A 19,571-nucleotide genomic window follows, 5' to 3' on the forward strand; every position below is an offset into this window, starting at 1 on the left:
GCGCACATCTGTGGTCCCAGTTATCTAGGAGGAGGATCGCTTGAGGCCACCAGTCTGATGCTGCAGTGAGCTGTGATTGTGCCAGTGCATTCCAGCCTGGGGCGACAGGGAAAGACCCTGTCTCAAAAAATAAAATAAAATAAATCTGTGTTGTTTTAAGCCACCACATTCATGGTGATTTATTCTAGCAGTGTATTCATTTGCTAAGGTGGCCATAACGAAACACTACAGACATAGTTTAAACGACAGAAATTTATTTTCTCACCATTCTAGAGGCCAAGAAGTCCAAGATCAAGGCGTCGGCAGGGCTGGTTTCCTCCGAGGCCTCTCTCCTTGGCTTGCAGATGGTCACCTTCTCACTGTGTCCACACATGGTTTCCAGTATGTGTGCACACATCCCTGTGCCTCTCTCCTTGTCTTTTTTTTTTTTTTTTTTCAAGACAGAATCTTGCTCTGTCACCCAGATTGGAGTGCAGTGGCACGATCTCGGCTCACTGCAACCTCCGCCTCTCAGGTTACAGTGATTCTCCTGCCTCAGCCTCCCGAGTAGCTGGGATTACAGGCATGAGCCAACTCACCCAGCTAATTTTTGTATTTTTAGTAGAGACGGGATCTCACCATGTTGGTCACGCTGGTCTCAAACTTCTGACCTCAAGTGATCTGCCTGCCTTGGCCTCCCAAAGTGCTGGAATTATAGGTGTGAGCCACCGCACCCGGCCCAAAAAACTTTTTAATTAGCTGGGCGTGGTGGTGCATGCCTGAAGTCCTGGCTACTGGGGAGGCTGGGGAGGAAGAATCACTTGAGCCCAGGAGGTTGAGGCTGCAGTGAGCCATGATTGCACCACTGTGCTCCAGCCTGGGCGACAGAGCAAGACTCTGTCTCAAAAAAAAAAAAAAAAAAAAAAAAAAGGAAAGAAAAAGAAAAGAAAAAGGAAAATAAGCTAATGCTTGTGGTTATGGGGAAGTCAAGGGACAACAGTGGGCAAGGGTAAGTTCAATTCTTCAGTTAGTTTGGCAAGTTTAAGTTTGACGAGACTGAATCGGCATGTTCAATTTGTCCTGATGATCATAGGCAATAGGGCTAAAGGATTTCTGTGAAATGGGAGTACCCACTGGTTCTCTGGATTAGCCTGCTTGATATGGTATGGGTAGGCTTTGTGACCCACCCAAATCTCATTTTGAACTGCAGTCCTCAGGTGTTTAAGGAAAGACCTGGTGGGAAATGATTGGCTCATGGGGGCTGTTCTTGTGACAGTGAGGGAGTTCTCACGAGATCTGATGGTTTTATAAATGGTAGTTTTTCCTGCATTTACACACACGCACTGTCTTGCCTACTGCCATGCGAGATGGGCCTCTTCACCTTCCGCCATGACTGTAAGTTTCCTTAGGCCTCCCCAGCCATGTGGAACTGTCAGTCAATTAAACCTCTTTCCTTTATAAATTACCCAGTCTCGGCCAGGCGCGGTGGCTCAAACCTGTAATCCCAGCACTTTGGGAGGCCAAGGTGGGCAGATTACTTGAGGTCAGGAGTTCAAGACCAGCCTGGCCAACATGGTGAAACCCCATCTCTACTAAAATCCAAAAAATCAGCCGGGCATGGTGGCACGCACCTGTAATCCCAGCTACTCAGGAGGCTGAAGCAGGAGAATCGCTTGAATCCAGGAGGCGGAGGTTGCAGTGAACTGAGATTGCACCACTGCACTCCAGCCTGGGTGAGAGAAAAAGACCCTGTCTCAATTATTAACTGTGGTCACTGTGCAGTGCAATGGGCCGCTAAAATGTATTCCTCCAGTCTAGCTGAAACTTTGTACCTTTGATCAACATCTTTCCTGGGTCAGGCACAGTGGCTCATGCCTGTAATCCCAGCACTTTGGGAAGCCGAGGTGGGAGGATCGTTTGAGCCCGAGAGTTCAAGACCAGCCTAGGCAACACAGTGAAACCTTGTCTCTACAAAAAAAAATTAAAATCTTCCTTTTCCTCATCCCCCCTCTGGCGCTGAGTGTGCTGTTTGGGCTGACTTGGGTTCAGGGAGGCATGGAAACACTATGAGCTTGTTGAAAGTCAGAAGAGAGCCTACTGCTTAGAAATTTCCTGCCGGGTGTTTAAGGTGAAGGGCCATCCACAAAGAGGGTGACACGAGATTGTCACATGGAGGCTCTTCAAGGTCAGGACAAGAAAGAATAAGAATCTGGGGCCCGGGGGCCTGACGCAGTGGCTCACGCCTGTAATCCCAGCACTTTGGGAGACCCAGGTGGGTGGATCACAAGGTCAGGAGATCGAGACCATCCTGGCTAACACGGTGAAACCCTGCCTCTACTAAAAATACAAAAAATTAGCCAGGCATGGTGGTGGGTGCCTGTAGTCCCAGCTACTCAGGATGCTGAGGCAGGAGAATAGCATGAACCTAGGAGGCAGAGGTTGCAGTGAGCTGAGATCACACCACTGCACTCCAGCCTAGGCAACAGAGCAAGACTCCATCTCAAAAAAAAAAAAAAAAGAATCTGGGTCCGGGCCTGGTGGCTCATGCCTGTAAATCCCAGCACTTTGGGAGGCCAAGGCACAAGGATCGCTTGAGGCCAGGAGTTGGGAACCAGCCTGGGCCACATAGTGAGACCCTATCTCCAAAAAATTTAAAAACTTAGCCAGGTATAGTGGTGCATGCCTGTAGTTCCAGCTAGTAGGGAGGCTGAAGCGAGAGGATTGTTTGAGCCTGGGAGTTTGAGGCTGCAGTGAGCTATGATCGTGCTACTACACTCCAGCCTGAGTGAGAGAGCAAGATCCTGTCTCAAAAAAAAAAAAAAAAAAAAAAAAAGCATGTTAGGGAGCTCCAATTCCCCAGGCAATCCTTCCTTGCCTCTTCCCAGCTTCTGGTGGCTCTTGGCAATCTCTAACATTATTTGGCTTGTGGCTGCATCATTCCAAGCTCTGCCTTCATCCTCACATGCTTCTCCCTGTGTCTTACGCGGCCACCTTCTCATAAAGACACCACTCGGCCAGGCGCGGTGGCTCACACCTGTAATCCCAGCACTTTAGGAGGCCGAGGCGAGCGGATCACCTGAGGTCGGGAGTTTGAGACCAGCCTGACCAACATGGAGAAAACCCCGTCTCTACTAAAAATACAAAATTAGCCGGGCATGGTGGTGCATGCCTGTAACCCAGCCACTCGGGAGGCTGAGGCAGGAGAATCGCTTGAACCCGGGAGGCAGGGTTTGCGGTGAGCCAAGATCGCGCCATTGCGCTCCAGCCTGGGCAACAAGAGCGAAACTCCATCTCAAAAAACAACAAAAAAAGACACCAGTCATGTTGCATTAGGGGCCCACCCTACTCCAGTATGACCTCCTTTTAACTGATTACATCTGCAATGAACTTATTTCCAAGTAGGGTCATATCCTGAGGTACTAGGGAGACAAAATTCAACCAATGACCAGCCCAGAAACCACTGGAGTTGCCTTTTAGTCTTGGATAAAACAAAAATAATAATGGTATAAATGCATGCTGTGTGGATAAGGTTTTGCCTTCAAGGGCAAGGTCATGCCCTAAATCTTGTACTTATGAATTACATAGTTATAATTTATCCTAGACACCCTTTTTTTTTTCTGAGACAGGGTCTTGCTCTTTTGCCCAGGTGGAGTGCTGTGATGCAATCTCGGCTCACTGCGGCCTCAACCTGTCAGGCTCAAGCAATCCTCCCACCTCAGCCTCCTGAGTAGCTGGGACTAGAAGCATGCATCACCACACTCAGCTAATTTTTTTATTTTTTATTTTTGTAGAGATGGGGGTCTCCCTATGTTACCCAGGCTAATCTCGAACTCCTGGGCTCAAGTGATCCTCCCACCTTGGCCTCCCAAAGTGCTGGGATTACAGACATGAGCCTGTCCTTTATGAGCAAGGGCTTGGGGCCGATTTTTATTTGTTTTTCCTACTTCCTGTATAATTGCAGAAACTTGGGGCACGTGTGGAGTGTGAGTGAGTGAGCTGCTGGAATGAACTGACCAGACAGGACATCATCTATGTATGGGATTAGAATGGAATTACAGGAGAAAACCAAATCCCTCAAATTAGCATTCAGGATCGGAAAAAAAAGTAAGTAGGGGTTTCAACGAACCACTGAGGCATAGCAGTGTATGTATGTTTACTGTTGACTTTCAAGGGGAAAGGGAAATGGGGCTGTGGATCATCAGGTGTGTGAAAGAAGGCAGAGGGCATGTGAGTACAGTCGAGTGGGTGGTGTTGGCCGGTCTAGAATAGAGGCCAGTATAATGTTTGGATTGGAAATAGCAGGAACCACAGTGTGACTATTTTGTTTACAGCCTTGAGGTCTTGGACTTGCTGGTATCCTTTATCGAGACTGTTATTGGGATTTTGTTTTTTTTTTTTTTGAGACAGAGTCTCACTCTGTCACCCAGGCTGGAGTGCAATGGCGCGATCTCGGCTCACTGCAACTTCTGCCTCTCGGGTTCAAGCAATTCTTCTACCTTAGCCTCCTGAGTAGCTGGGATTACAGGTACCTGCCGCCATGCCCGGCTAATTTTTTAATTTGTTTTTAGTAGAGACGGGGTTTCACCATGTTGGCCAGGCCGGTCTACAACTCCTGATCTCAGGTGATCTACCCGCCTCGGCCTCCCAAATTACAGGTGTTATCATTAGGATTCTTGGCAGACAGGAGTGTTGTAGGGGATGGAAGTGGATAGTAGGAGGCTCTGAATAATGGGTTGGGGGCCCTAGTGTGCCTCTGGTGTCAGAGCACATTAAGGCAGCTTCAAGAAGGGCATGAAAAGATCTAATTCTATTCCACAACTTGGGGTAATTGGTTAAAAAAAAAAAAAGGGAGCCAGGTGCAGTGGCTCACACCTGTAATCTCAACACTTTGGGAGACCGAGGTGGGAGGACTGCTTGAGGCCAGGACTTTGAGACCAGCCTGGGCGACATAGCAAGACCTTGTCTCTATTTAAACAAAATTTTTTTTAATTCTAAAAAGAAAGGATCTACTTCTACCTTAAGAGGTTCAGCCTCCCAGAGGCACCCTACATTTGTTGAGTTGGGGGCTCAAAGAGAATCAGGAATGCAAGTCACAGATCTTGGATATGTAGGTCTGAGGGAGAGGTGGATGTTTTGGGAAGGGGGTGGTTGGAGTGGTGGGAAAGTTAGTGGACTGAGATGAACAAGGGCAGAATTAGGGACTGGGAGACATAAGCCCTCTTGTGAATATGAAATATTATGGCTTTGGCTGGGCACGGTGGCTCACACCTGTAATCCCAACACTTTGGGAGGCCAAGGCAGGTGGATCACTTGAGGTCAGGAGTTTGAGACCAGCCTGTCCAACATGGTGAAACCCTGCCTCTACTAAAAATACAAAAATTAGCCGGTTGTGATGGTGTGCACCTGTGATCCCAGTTGCTTGGGAGGATGAAGCAGGAGAATCGCTTGAACCTGGGAGGTAGAAGTTGCAGTGAGGTGAGATCGCATCACTGCACTCCAGCCTGGGTGACAGAGCGAGACTCCATCTCAAAAACAAACAAACAAAAAAGAAATATTATTGTTCTACGTTGATAGAACATCCCTTTCTAAAGGGATTATTGGAGTAATTTGAATAAGAAACTGTGCTGGGTAGTAGAGAGCCCAATGAGCCCAAGAGTGGCTTAGACAGGCATAAACCATGTGGCTAATTGTGGTCTCATCACCATTATTGCTGTGTACTGAGGTAGGGAGGGGGGACTGAGATATTTATGGCAAAGCATGTGGCCCCTGTGTCTACAAAAACCCTGGCAGGATGCTCATTAAGGGGATTGATGGTCATTTCCCCCTGAAGGTTAAGGAATCCTTATAGACACAGAGGAGAAAGTTGGCTGGAAGTGAGTCACTGGGAGACTGAATCTTAGACTCAAATTCCTTTTGCATTTCAAAGCTAAATAGTGTCAAGTCCAATGTCCCTTTTCTTTACAGTATATACAAGTGTCTCTATCAACATTAGGTTTTGAGGTTGAGTGCAGTGGCCCACACCTGTAATCCCAGCACTTTTGAGAGGTGGAGGATCGTTCAACCCCAGGAGTTCAAGACCAGCCTCGGCAACATAGTGAGACCCCATCTCTATAACAAATAAAAAACATGCCCGGGCACGGTGGTTCATGCCTGTAATCCCAGCACTTTGGGAGGCCGAGGTGGGCAGATCACTTGAGGTCAGGAGTTCGAGACCAGCCTGGCCAACATGGCAAAACCCCTTCTCTACTAAAAATACAAAAATTAGCTGGGCGTGGTGGCATGTGCCTGTAGTCTTAGCTACTTGGGAGGCTGAGGTGGGAAGATCACTTGAGCCCAGGAGGTTGAGGCTGCAGTGAGCTGTGATCATGCCACTGCACTTTGGCCTGGGCAACAGAGCAAGATTCCATCTCAAAAAATAATAAAATAATAAAAAAATTAAAAACTACATAAAAAACAAAAAATTAGCGAGGTGTGGTGGCTCATGCCTGTAGTCCCAGCTACTCAAGAGGCTGAGGGGGAGGATGGCTTGAACCCTGTAGTTTGAGGCTGCAGTGAGCTACGATCATACCACTGCACAGAAGCCTGGGTGATAGAGCAAGACCCTGTCTCTAACAAACAAAATTAGGTTTTGTGATTCCAGTGGTCCTGATAGGATAAACTTTTTGTCTCTAATGATTTAAGTTATAGGGCCCTAAGTTTTCATTGTATGGATTTGATTTTTTTTTTTTTTTTTGAGACAGAGTTTCGCTCTTGTTGCCCAGGCTGGAGTGCAGTGGCACGATCTCAGCTCACCGCAACCTCCGCCTCCCAGATTCAAGCGATTCTCCTGCCTCAACCTCCCGAGTAGCTGGGATTACAGGCATGTGCCACCATGCCCGGCTAATTTTGTATTTTTAGTAGAGACGGGGTTTCTCCATGTTGATCAGGCTGGTCTCAAACTCCTGACCTCAGATGATCCACCCACCTCAGCACTCAAAGTGCTGAGATTACAGGCGTGAGCCACTGCGCCCGGCCTTGATTTTATCTTTCATGGCATCCTCATGATATACACTATCTCCTGGAATTCTATAATTGAGGAATGTTTTTGAATCACGTCTCTCATTTCTGGTCTCTGGATATTAACTAGTGGCCAAGACAGAAGCAGATCAGGGGTGATAGTCTTTTCCATACATTTTCTAGCCTGGGTCTGTCACGGGAGATGGATTCATCTCTATGTTGCCTACACTTCTGGACCTTAGACTAAACAGAGGGATAGGCACTGGGGATGGAGTCTAAGAGCCTTTCCCCAATAGTCTTAGCAACTATGCCTCAGAGGTATACTGCTCCTTTGGATACCTTCATTTACTGAGGCTCGTTTAGCATTTTCAAATCAAAGAGCTGCATTTTGGCCAGGCGCAGTGGCTCATGCATGTAATCCCAGCACTTTGGGAGGCCTAGGCAGGCAGATCGCTTGAGCCCAGGAGTTTGAGACCAGCCTGGGCAACATGGTAAAACCTCTGCAAAAAATCCAAAAAATTAGCTGGGCATGGTGGCATGTGCCTGTAGTTCTAGCTACTCAGGAGGCTGAGGTGGGAGGATCACTTGAGCCCAGAAGGTCAAGGCTGCAGTGAGCTGTGTTCATGCCACTGCACTCCAGCCTGGGAAACAGAGACCCTGCCTCAGGAAAAAAAAAAAAAGCTGCAGCTCTGGAACCATCAGATGGACAAGGTGATACAAATCAAATTGGAAAATCCCAGAGTAAGCTCCCAGTATTAGCCTAAATTGGCTACTAAATTCTTTCCTGTTTTCCTGGGTTTTTTAAGGCTGTGTTGCCCAAACTGGACTCGAACTCCTGGACTCCAGCGATCCTCCCACCTCAGCCGCTTAAGTAGCTGGGAATACAGTCACCCGCCACCATGCCCAGCTTTCAGATAGGTCTTTGCAGCACGTAAGTCAGAGCGTTCTGAAAGTCTGAAGAAAACTTGTTCAGGTCCATGCTCGGATCGTTCACCTTCAGCTGTGGAAGGTGGAGGACCATGTGTTAGGGTGTTACTGGAGAACTGGGGAGGTGGAGGGCTGGAGTCAAAGGTAGAGAGAGGTGGATACGTGTTCCCTCCAGTTCATTCCCTCTGCCTTCAGTCTTTCAAGGCCAAGATGAAGCCTAAGAGGTCACCTCTGATTCCCCACTCTCTCTGACCCCTGAGCTCATTCTAGGCTGCCCAAGCCTCCCAAACTCCCCCAGTCCAGCCCTTCCCGTTCTGGGTCATCACTGTCCAGGGGCAGGTATGTCTCTCTACTGGCAGGGCAGTCCTTGGCTGTCTCAGTCACCACTGTGTCCCCAGCATCACCCAGCTCAGTGACACAAAGGAATGAGTGAATATATACTTCTCTATTTCATAGATAGAGAAGTCATCACATCAACATAAAATAAAATACTGAATGTTACGTATCAGTTTTCTAGTATGGATCAGACTTGGGCTAACTGCATTTTATTATTTGACTTTTGAGACAGGGTCTCACTCTCTTGCCCAGGCTAGAGTGCAGTGGTGTGTGATCTTGGCTCACTGCAATCTCTGCTTCCTGGGCTCAAGCGATCCTCTAGCCTCAACCTCCAAGTAGCTGGGACCACAGGTGCAAGCCACCACACTTGGCTAATTTTTGAACTTTTTGTAGAAAGGGAGTTTCACCACGTTGGCCAGGCTGCTCTCAAACTCCTGAGATCTAAGGGATCTGCCTGCCTCGGCCTCCCAAATTGCTGGGATTATAGGCATGAGCCACCACACCCAGCCTGAATTAATAGTTGTGATTAGTAGTAACACCACCACCAAATAAAAAATCAGTCATCACAAACCATGAGATTACTTTTTCTCCAAGTTCTCTACCCTCCAGTCACATTCCTTCCATCTCTCCCCAGTTTCCAACTCCTCCTCCATTACTCCTCCCTCTCCCTTCTCATCTTCTCTCCTGGCACTCTTCCTGTATATTTTCTACCCCAGCTCGTCCTCCTTCCAAGACTCCTCTCCCATCAGTCCTCTCTCCCCACCCCTTCCATCCTTCCTCTTTTCAGGCAGTCCTCCTTCCAGATGAACTCCATGTTGGTACAACAGAGTAATGATTCGAGAGTGCCGTGTGCTGAGATCAAGGCCATGGGGCCAGAGATGAGTCCGTTTTAATTGCTGGGGAAACAGGGAGGGGCCTTGGAAATAGCTCCCCCCACCCCACTCCCCACGTGTCCCATCCAGTTTGGGCAGGAAGCCACTTTCCCTAGAACAGTTCATTGCTGGGATCCTGTGAAGAACCGCTGTGGAGGGCAGCAGCTGGACGAGGGCACAGGACCTCAGAGAACACTGATGCGCTCCGCCAGCCCCTGCATGTCGTGGTCCTGTGGTGGACAGGCCCCACCGAGATCCCTGTCCGTGGGCAGCCCAGACCCAGGCAGCGGATGCTCTGCTGCAAACTGCTCCCAGCGCGCGTCGTCACTCTCATGCGTGATGTATCGCTCTCCCATCTTCCCCTCCAGCTCTCGGAGGTCCAGCCACGTCTGGTACTCCTGGGCCCGAGAGAACTGGGGTTAGCTTGGGGTCTGCATTGGAGCAGTGCCTGGATATCCTCTGGTTTGCCACTGAGAGCTGGGTACCAATGAAGGTGAAGCCATACCCTCTGCAACCCACCCAGCCAGTAGACATTTAGCTCCACCCCCTCTTCCTGCACCCAGCCAATGGGAGGCCTAGCCACATTCCAGACCCAAGGAAACCTACATCCTTCACAACCTGCCTAGCCAATAAGCGATCTACTCCCACCCCTTCCTCCAATCCAGCCAATGGGCCAGCCCTGCCCCCTGCATCACCTGTAACCAGGGGTGGCTGAGAGATTTGTCCACGCTGTAGCGTTTGCGCATCTTCACCTGCAGCAGGTTGTTGATGAGGTCAATGGCTGCACAGGAAAGAGAAACAGGTCAAGCCCTACAGGTCAAGGGTCACTCCTCCTCCAATAGGCACCCCCTAGCCTACCTGCCTGCCATCAACACCTTCCTTCTGCACCAGCTCAGGTGGCTCAGAAGCCTCACCTGTGCCAATCACTCACCCACCCATTTCCTCATTACATTACAAATTTGTCTCCTCCTGCCCATGCATGTTCACACCAGCTCCCTCTCTTCACCTGTTCTCTACTTCAATTTCCCCATTCCCCTATGTCACCTTTTTTTTTCTTTTTGTCATATACAGGTACATACAATTACACCTGTACTATTCTTTTTATTTTTACTTATTTATTTATTGAGACAGAGTCTCGCTCTGTCGCCCAGGCTGGAGTGCAATGGCACGATCTTGGCTCACTGCAACCTCCGCCTCCCGGGTTCATGTGATTCTCCTGCCTCAGCCTCCCAAGTAGCTAGGAATACAGGTGTGTGTCACCATGTCCTGCTAACTTTTTGTATTTTTAGTAGAGATGGGGTTTCACCATATTGGCCAGGCTGGTCTCTAACTCCTGACCTCAAGCAATCCGCCTGCCTTGGCCTCCCAAATTGTTGGGATTACAGGCATGAGCCACTGCGCCCGGCCTAAATGGATTTTCAACCTACAATACTTCCTTTTTTTTTTTTGAGACAGGGTCTCATTGTTACCCAAGCTGAAGTGCAGTGGCGTGATCAATGCTCACTGAAGCCTCCACCTCCCCAGCTTAATTGATTCTCCTGCCTTAGCCTCCTGAGCAGCCAGCTGGGACTACAAGCACCTGTCACTATGGCCGGCTAATTTTTGTATTTTTTGTAGAGATACATTGCCCAGGCTGGTCTTGAACTCCTGGGCTCAAGCAATCTGCCTACCTTGGCCTCCCAAGGTGCTGGGATTATGGGCTTCAGCCACTGCGCCTGACCAACTTATGATATTTTCAATTTACAATGGGCAATGGGTTTATCAGGTTTATCTAACCCCAGTGCAAATCAGGGAGCATCTATGTCATCAGGCTGGGCGCGGTGGCTCATGCCTGTAATCCCAACACTTTGGGAGGCCGAGGCGGGTGGATCACCCGAGGTCAGGAGTTCGAGACAAGCCTGGCCAACACGGAAACCCCGTCTCTACTAAAAATACAAAAAATTAGCTGGGCATGGTAGCGCATGCCTGTAGTCCCAGCTACTCAGGAGGCTGAGGCAGAATCGCTTGAACTCAGGAGGCAGAGGTTGCAGTGAGCCAAGATCGTGCCACTGCACTCCAGCCCGGGTGACAAAAGCGAAACTCCGTCTCAAAACAAAACAAAACAAAACAAAATGTCATCAGATGGTAGTTAGTCACCATTGCCTGCAGAAGGCTCAGAGATAGGCCTGTTCATTGTGAAAAAGAGGACTAGCGAATGTCAAGCTTCAAGACAAGCCAGCACTCATCCGAGGCTCTCTCCTTGATGGGAAGCCATGAAGGACAAGGCTTCACTGTATGAACCCATCCGAGGAGAGGCCTGGTGCACACAGGCACCCTGCTCCCGTCAACACCCACAGGATTCTGTGATCCTCACACAGGTGCAACCACACTTAAATTCACTTGTGCACACTCGATGCACTTTTACTGAGGGACTTCTGAGTGGGTCTCAAAAGACAATGCTGGCGGGGTGTGATGGCTTATGCCTGCAATCCCAGCACTTTGGGAGGCTGAAGCGGGCAAATAACTTGAGGTCAGGAGTTCAAGACCAGCCTGGCTAACATGGCGAAACCCTGTCTCTACTAAAAATATAAAACATGAGCCAGGCATGGTGCTGTGTGCCTGTAATCCCAGTTACTCGGGAGGCTGAGGCAGGAGAATCCCTTGAACCCAAGAGGTGGAGGTTGCAGTGAGCCGAGATCACGCCACTGCACTCCAGCGTGGGTGAAAGAGCGAGACCCCACCTCAAAAAAAAAAAAAAAGCCAGTGTTGAGCACCCCCAATATTACTCCAGGACTCAAGTCAATCCACATTCTCACTGCTTAGGGCCCATGCTCTTAGACCACCACCAAGACCTTGTCTTGTCCTGCACCGAGCAACCTCCGTGTCACCCTGCTCCACCTGCTCCATGAAGCCGCACCCTCCAGAGAGGACCCTTCCCCTTTCCACCCTTCGCGGACCACTCAATGAGCTACCCTGCACCTGACCCCTTCTGTCCAAGTCATCACAGTATTCCCAGAGCTGGAACAGTCAATGCCTGGCACATCGTGGGCACTCAACATGTTGAATCAATGGTTACAAATACATGAATGTACTTGTTGAATAAATGGTTATAAATAAATGAATGAATGATCCCCCCCCTTCCCATACTCCATCTGTCTTCCTGAGCTCCCTGGCTCCAACACAGGTCCCTTGTTCTCCTGGCTTCTGACACACCCCAGTATCTTAGCCCTGCCTCTGGCCCTCTAAACATGCCATCCCACACCCAGCCTCAAAGCTCCAGGCCTTAGGACTTAACTTTTCCAAGCAGGGAAAGTTACAGACCCATTCCCAAGTAGGTTCAAGTCACCAGGCCCGGTGCCACTTCATCAGGCCCAGCCACAACACCAAAGCCCCAGAATGCAGAGTGCAATGTCTGCCTCAGTCCTGGCTCCCTTCTCCTCCCCACTCCCATCCACTCCCAGCTTCCAGGACTCAGGGTCAGCCCTGTTCCTGGACCTCTTCGGAAACCCTCCACGGCCACGTCCCTAGACTGGCTCCCTTGGTCACTGAACCGACCCCAGGCTTCAGGCCCATCTTCACCCAAGTCACGGCCCCAGTACACAGCAAAGTAGCCATGCCCTTGTTTCTCAACCCTACCCACCGGTGCCTCCTTTTTGCAAGGCTGACCCTTTTGGGGTCGTAAACCCAAAGGCTCCAGGTCCCAGCCAATGCCTTGGGAGGCTCAGCCCCTTCTCCTGGTCACCGCAGCCCTTTGGTACCCTCAAGTCCAGTCCCTTTCCTGGTCCCACCCTAGACAAGCCAAGTCTCACTCAGCCCCCCTAAGGTTCCAAGTGTCCTCAGCGCTTCTGGGGCACTTGGTTTCCAGCCCAAGTAACCTAGTCTAGGCCTGAGTCCCAGCCCATCTTTTACAGGACGGCTCCTCCTGTAGCCACATCCCTCCAGTAGGCCCGCCCCAGCACTGGGCTCCACCCCCAAGGTGCCAGGCTGTTTCCGGGTCCACCCCCCTCTCATGGCTCCGCCCACTTCTCCAGCCCCACCCCACAACCCACCCGCCCATGGGGTAGGCGGGCCCCAGGCACCTCCAGCTGAGATGTGGCTCCAGGGGCTGGCCGGGTACATGAAGGCGGCGTTCTGGATCTGGTCATTGATGTCCTCATCCTCGTTGAAAGGGAAGGTGCCGCTGAGGCTGACGTACATGATCACGCCCACTGACCACATGTCCAGCGAGCGGTTGTAGCCCTGGTTGAGCAGCACCTCGGGTGCCAGGTAGGCCGGCGTGCCCACCACTGAGCGGCGGAACGACTTCTCGCCGATGATGCGAGCAAAGCCAAAGTCACACAGCTTCACCTGCAGAGGGCAAGGGATGGAGGCTCCACCAGGTGATGGAGCCGCACCCACCCCAGCATCCCCACCACACCACCCTCCATGGTATTCCAGAGAAAGCTGGATGCTGGTTTGAATCCAGGCTCCTTGGCTCACTAGCTGAGCAACCCTGGGCAGGTGACTTCCCCCCTCTGTGCCTCAGTTTCCCCATCTATAGGAAGAAGAGCAGAAGAGCACCTATCTCAGAGGACTGCCATGATGGTTAGTGAATTAAACCATCCAAAGCCCACAGGACAATATTTGGCATTCAGTTGGTGCACAATAAATGCTAGCTGCTGCTATACCTCTGCCACCTCCAATGGGTCGCTGTTTCCTCTTTTGAATAATGCAGATTTTTTTTAATAGCCTCAAAATATACATGATTGGGGCGTGGTGGCTCATGCCTGCAATCTCAGCACTTTGGGAGGCCAAGGAAGATGGATCATTTGAGGTCAGGAGTTCGAGACCAGCCTGGCCAACACGATGAAACCCCATCTCTACTAAAAATACAAAAATTAGCACACGCCTGCGGTCCCAGCTACTCAGGAGGCTGAGGCAGGAGAATCGCCTGAACCTGGGAGGCAGAGGTTGCAGTGAGCCGAGATCGCACCACTGCATTCCAGCCTGGGTGACACAGCGAGACTCCGTCTCAAAAAACAAACAAAAAAAACATGAAACATAATGGAGATCTTAACAGTCCCTACCTTAAAGGGTGCTTGTTTAGACTGAAAGAGAAATGTATGCAACGTGTTAGGAGCAGTGTCTAGCACAGAATGACCCTCGATGATCTCAGGTCAAGGACCTAATTTCTCCAGGCCTTGATTTTGTCATCTGTATTGGGGGGTTGTTGATAGCAGCCTCCTCTCAGGCTTTCCTGGGGATTAGGTAGGAGTGGGTGCTGACTGCGGTAGCTGGCAGACAGTATGGTGTATGCCTACCTTTCCTTCATTGTTTTATTTTTTTTGAGACGGAGTCTCGCTCTGTCGCCCAGGCTGGAGTGCAGTAGCGTGATCTTGGCTCACTGCAACCTCTGCCTCCCAGGTTCAAGCAATTCTCCTGCCTCAGCCTCCCGAATAGCTGGGATCACAGGGACCCGCCACCATGCCTGGCTAATTTTTGTATTTTTAGTAGAGACGACATTTCACCACATCAGCCAGGCTGGTCCCAAACTCCTGACCTCAGGTGTTCCTCCTGCCTCAGCCTCCCAAAGTGCTGGGATTACAGGCATGAGACACCACACCTGGCCCCATACCCTCATTGTTAATGGCTGCAGTCTAAGGTCATGGACAGGCTTTGGAGCCAGCAAGACCTGGGTTCAAGGTCTTGCTCTGCTGCCTACCTCTCAGCCTTGGTTCCCAGCTCTGTTCATGTACTGTCCTTTCCCTGTTCAAAACCCTTCCTTGGCTCACTGTTGCTTGCAGGATAGAGCCCCAAATCCTTGAAGCCTGAAGCCTCTGTCACCTTTGAAACCAGCCACGCCTCAACCCCTGACCTGAATCTCAATGTGACAGCCACCCTTTCCTGAGGTACTCTGCCCTTTCTACAGATCTTATAGCTCTTTCTCTTTTCCAAGATCTATACTTTCCTATGGATCTTTTTTAAAATTTTTATTTTATTATTATTTTTTTGAGACGAGTCTTGGTCTGTCGTCCAGGCTGGAGTGCAGTGGTGTGATCTCGGCTCACCGCAACCTCCACCCTCCTGGGTTCAAGCAATTCTCCTGCTTCAGCCTCCTGAGAACCTGGGATTACAGGTTCCCGCCACCATGCCCAGCTAATTTTTGTATTTTTAGTAGAGACGGGGTTTCGCCATGTTAGCCAGACTGGTATCCAACTCCAGACCTCAAGTGATCTGCCCGCCTCAGCCTCCCAAAGTGCTGGGATTATAGGCATGAGCCGCTGCGCTCAACCAGAAAACTTTTAAATATGTTTGGAACAACTTGGGCATGTCAATCTATTTCCCCAACTGTTATACACACCAGATTTTGAAGACATAGTATGAAAAACAAGCAGAATGTTTCATTGAGTTTTGTTTCTTTTTTAAGAGACAGGGTCTTGCTCTGTCACCCCAGCTGGAGTGCAGTGGCACAATCATAGCTCACTTCAGACTTGAACTCCTGGTCTCAAGCCGTCTTCCCATCTTGGCCTCCCAAAGTGCGGGGATTATAGGCATGAGCCACCTCCCCTGGCCTTAATAATTTTTATGTTGACTACATGTTGAATAAAGTGCTATATGTTGGGATAAACTATATATATATATATATATATATTTTTTTTTTTTTTTTTGAGACAGAGTCTCGCTCTCTCGCTCTGTCACCCAGGCTGGAGTGCAGTGGCGTGATCTCGGCTAACTGCAAGCTCCGCCTCCCGGGTTCATGCCATTCTCCTAACTCAGCCTCCCAAGTAGCTGGGACTACAGGCGCACACCACCACGCCCCGCTAATTTTTTTTTGTATTTTTAGTAGAGAAGGGGTTTCACCGTGTTAGCCAGGATGGTCTCGATCTCCTGACCTCGTGAACTGCCCGCCTCGGCCTCCCAAAGTGCTGGGATTACAGGCGTGAGCCACCGCACCCAGTCTTTTTTTTTTTTTTTTAAGAGACAGCTCTCACTCTGTTATTCAGGCTGGAGTGCAGTGGCACAATCATAGCTCACTGCAGCCACCAACTCCTGGGCTCAAGCAATCCTCCCATCTCAGCCTCCTAAGCAGCTAGGACTATAGGCGCACGCCACCATTCCCGGCTATTTTTTTTTTCATTTTTTGTATAGATGAGGTCTCGCTATGTTGCCCAGGCTGGTCTCAAACTCTTGGGCTCAAATGATCCTCCTGCCTCAGCCTCTCAAAATGCTGATTACAGGCAAGAGCCACTGTGCCTCGCCCCCACATCTTGATTAGTATAATCCCCTTCCCCACCCCCACCCCGGCCATCAGTGTTGCCTGGATTTCCCCAAATCAGGAGGGGACATAACTGACCTGAGGAAATGGGTCTGCTGATGCCAGCAACACGTTTTCTGGTTTCAAGTCACAGTGGACAATGTTCTTGAAGTGAAGGTGTCTCAAAGCCACCAGGATCTGAGGGGAGCAGATGGGCCCAGTAAGAAAGGTAGATAGGTACTCAGCCAAATCCCAACCTCAGCAGCCAGCCCTCCAAACCCATCCATACTTTTTTTTTTTTTTTTTTGAGACAGAGTCTCGCTCTGTAGCCCAGGCTGGAAGTGCAGTGGCATGATCTCAGCTCACTGCAACCCCTACCTCCTGGGTTCAAGTGATTCTCCTGCCTCAGCCTCCCAAGTAGCTGGGACTACAGGCGTGCACCACCATGCCCAGCTAATTTTTTTTTTTCTTTTTGAGGCGGAGTCTCACTCTGTCGCCTGGGCTGGAGTGCAGTGGCACGATCTCGGCTCACTGCAACCTCTACCTCCAGGGCTCAAGTGAGTCTCCTGCCTCAGCCTCCCGAGTAGCTGGGATTACAGGCGCTGGCCACTATGCCCAGCTAATTTTTTCTATTTTTAGTAGAGATGGGGTTTCACCATGTTGGCCAGGCTGGTCTCAAACTCCTGACCTCGTGATTTCCCCACCTCGGCCTCCCAAAGTGCTGGGATTACAGGCGTGAGCCACCGGGCCCAGACTTGCTCTGATAATTTTTTCTTTTATTTTTAGTAGAGACAGGGTTTCACCATGTTGACCAGGCTGGTCTCAAACTCCTGGACTCAAGTGATCCACCCACCTTGGCCTCCCAAAATGCTGGGATTACAGGCGTGAGTGAGCCACTGCGCCTGGCCCCATCCATGCCTTCCTACACACCCCTGCAGACACCCCAGCCAGGGAAACAGGAGGCACTGGAGCACCAAAGAATCTCAGAATCATAGAACCATTTACATCTGAGAGATAAGAGTTAAATGTAAACTAGAAAGTCTGGGCTAGATGAGTGGGGCTGTGAAGATCCCAAGATCTTCTAGCATGTGGTAAACTCCTGAATGCTACTGACAGAGCAGGCATTTCCAAGATCCAACTATGTGATTCTATTTTTTTTTTTTTTTTTTTTTTGAGACAGAGTCTTGCTCTGTCACTCAGGCCAGAGCACAGAGGCGGGATCACAGCTCACTGCACCTCGACCTCCCAGGCTAAATCCATCCTCCCACCTCAACCTCCCTAGTAACTGGGATTATAGGCACACACCATCACACCTGACTAATTTTTGTATTTGTAGAGACAGTGTCTCACCATGTTGCCCAGGCTGGTCTCAAACTCCTGCACTCAAGTGATCCACCCACCTCAGCCTCCCAAAGTGCTTGGATAACAGGCGTGAGCCACCCCACCTCACCCATTTTTTTTTTGAAGAGATGGAGTCTCCCTCTGTCACCCAGGCTGAAGTGCAGTATCATTCTACAGCCTCAAACTCCTGGGGTTAAGTGATCCTCCAGCCTCAGTCTCCCAAATAGCTAGGACTACAGGCATGTGCCACCACCACCATGTCGGGCTTTGATTCCTTTTTTTTTTTTTTTTTTGAGAAGGCCTCCTGATTCTCCTGCCTCAGCCTCCTGAGCAGCTGGGATTACAGGCACACACCACCATGCCCGGCTAATTTTTGTATTTTTAGTAGAGACGGGGTTTCATCATGTTGGTCAGGCTGGTCTTGAACTCCTGACCTCGTGATCCACCAACCTTGGCCTCCCAAAGTGCTGGGATTATAGGCGTGAGCCACTGTGCCCAGCCTGATTTCATTTTTAAAAAAAATATTTTTCATCCTTACAAAAAACTTTGGCTGGGCATGGTGACTCATGCCTGTAATCTCAGCACTTTGGAAGGCTGAGGCAGGTGGATCACCTGAGGTCAGGAGTTAGACACCATCCTGGCCAACATAGCAAAACCCTGCCTCTATTAAAAATACAAAAATTAGGCGTGGTGGTGGGCGCCTGTAGTCCCAGCTACTCGGGAGGCTGAGGCAGGAAAATCGCTTGAACTGGAGAGGTGGAGGTTGCAGTGAGTCGACATCGCGCCATTGCACTCCAGCCTGGGCGACAGAGTGAGATGCCATCTCAGAAAAAAAAAGAGTACCAACCTTACAGGTTGCTATAAGGTTTAAAGCATATCTAAAGATGCATGTAAAACGCTTAGGATAGCTAACCACTGTATGTTAGCTGTTACTGTTGTTGTTATTAGTTATTATTTTTGTGATGGCTTGTTGGTAAATATATTTGTTTGTGTCTCTTAAATAAAGCTTCTCCTGCTGTATCTGTTCCTATGATAAGGTGAGCTGATTAAAAAAAAAATTACCATTTGTAACCATTCATCTGTGAGAATCATATTTCTTGATTCTCTGTAACTCAAAATGCCAAGTACACCAGAAGCAATTGTACAACTGCAATTATTATCTGTCTCGGAGTTTAAATACTTGTGTATCTGTCTCAGAGTTTAAATACTTGTGTTTATTCTGATTGTTTTCTTTTTTAAAAAAATCTTTTTGTAGAGATGGCATCTCGCTATGTTGCCCAGGCTGGTCTTAAACTCCTGGCCTCAAATGATCTTCCCACCTCAGCTACCCAAACCTTGAGATAATAGGCACGACCCACCATGCCTGACCAACCTCCTCATTCTACAGACTGGGAGACCAAGCTGGAAAGATGCATGTGTTGTATATGTCATCTCCAGATTGTTTTTTTGAGATGGAGTCTCACTCTGTTGCCCACGCTGGAGTGCAACGGCATGACCTCGACTCACCACAAATTCCACCTCCCAGGTTCAAGCAATTCTTGTGCCTCAGCCTCCCCAGTAGCTGGGATTACAGGTGAATGCCACCACACCTGGCTAATTTTTGTATTATTAGTAAAGATGGGATTTCACCATGTTGGCCAGGCTGGTCTCAAAACTCCTGACCTCAGGTGATCCATCTGCCTTGGCCTCCCAAAGTTCTAGGATGACAGGCGTGAGCCACCTCGCCCCGCCCATTTCCAGATTTTGTCAGTTGATTTTCTCCCAGTTCATGTGAACAAAGAGGGCAGGTTAGGCCGGGCACGGTGGCTTACGCCTGTAATCCCAGCACTTTGGGAGGCTGAGGCGGGCAGATCACGAGATCAAAAGTTCAAGACCAGCCTGATCGACATGGTGAAACCCCATCTCTA

The 19,571-nt window shown here is 49.6% G+C and overlaps 1 protein-coding gene and 1 long non-coding RNA gene across 9 annotated transcripts in view; one reads left to right on the plus strand and one right to left on the minus strand.

Annotated features, from left to right (window-relative positions):
* The window catches only part of DACT3-AS1 (DACT3 antisense RNA 1), a 17,093-nt gene extending 4,864 nt beyond the window's left edge, over positions 1–12,229 (plus strand). The window contains exons 2-3 of one of the 2 annotated variants that reach the window (NR_040042.1): positions 3,941–4,083; positions 11,913–12,229. This is a non-coding gene — a long non-coding RNA (DACT3 antisense RNA 1). Of the gene's footprint in view, positions 1–3,940; positions 4,084–5,913; positions 6,115–11,912 lie in introns of those variants that run through there. The other variant, NR_040041.1, reaches the window with a different exon arrangement.
* Positions 9,089–19,571, minus strand: part of PRKD2 (protein kinase D2) — a 42,799-nt gene continuing 32,316 nt past the window's right edge. For all 7 annotated transcript variants that reach the window (NM_001079881.2, NM_001079880.2, XM_005258716.3 and 4 more), the window contains 4 exons: positions 16,423–16,521; positions 13,169–13,436; positions 9,806–9,891; positions 9,089–9,508 (listed from right to left, as the gene is read on the minus strand). In NM_001079881.2, coding sequence (NP_001073350.1) covers positions 9,296–9,508; positions 9,806–9,891; positions 13,169–13,436; positions 16,423–16,521 — 666 coding nt within the window. In that variant the 3' untranslated portion in view covers positions 9,089–9,295. The remainder of the gene's footprint in view (positions 9,509–9,805; positions 9,892–13,168; positions 13,437–16,422; positions 16,522–19,571) is intronic.

This window comes from Homo sapiens, chromosome 19 (assembly GCF_000001405.40).
Source record: "Homo sapiens chromosome 19, GRCh38.p14 Primary Assembly".
Lineage (NCBI taxonomy): Eukaryota > Metazoa > Chordata > Mammalia > Primates > Hominidae > Homo > Homo sapiens.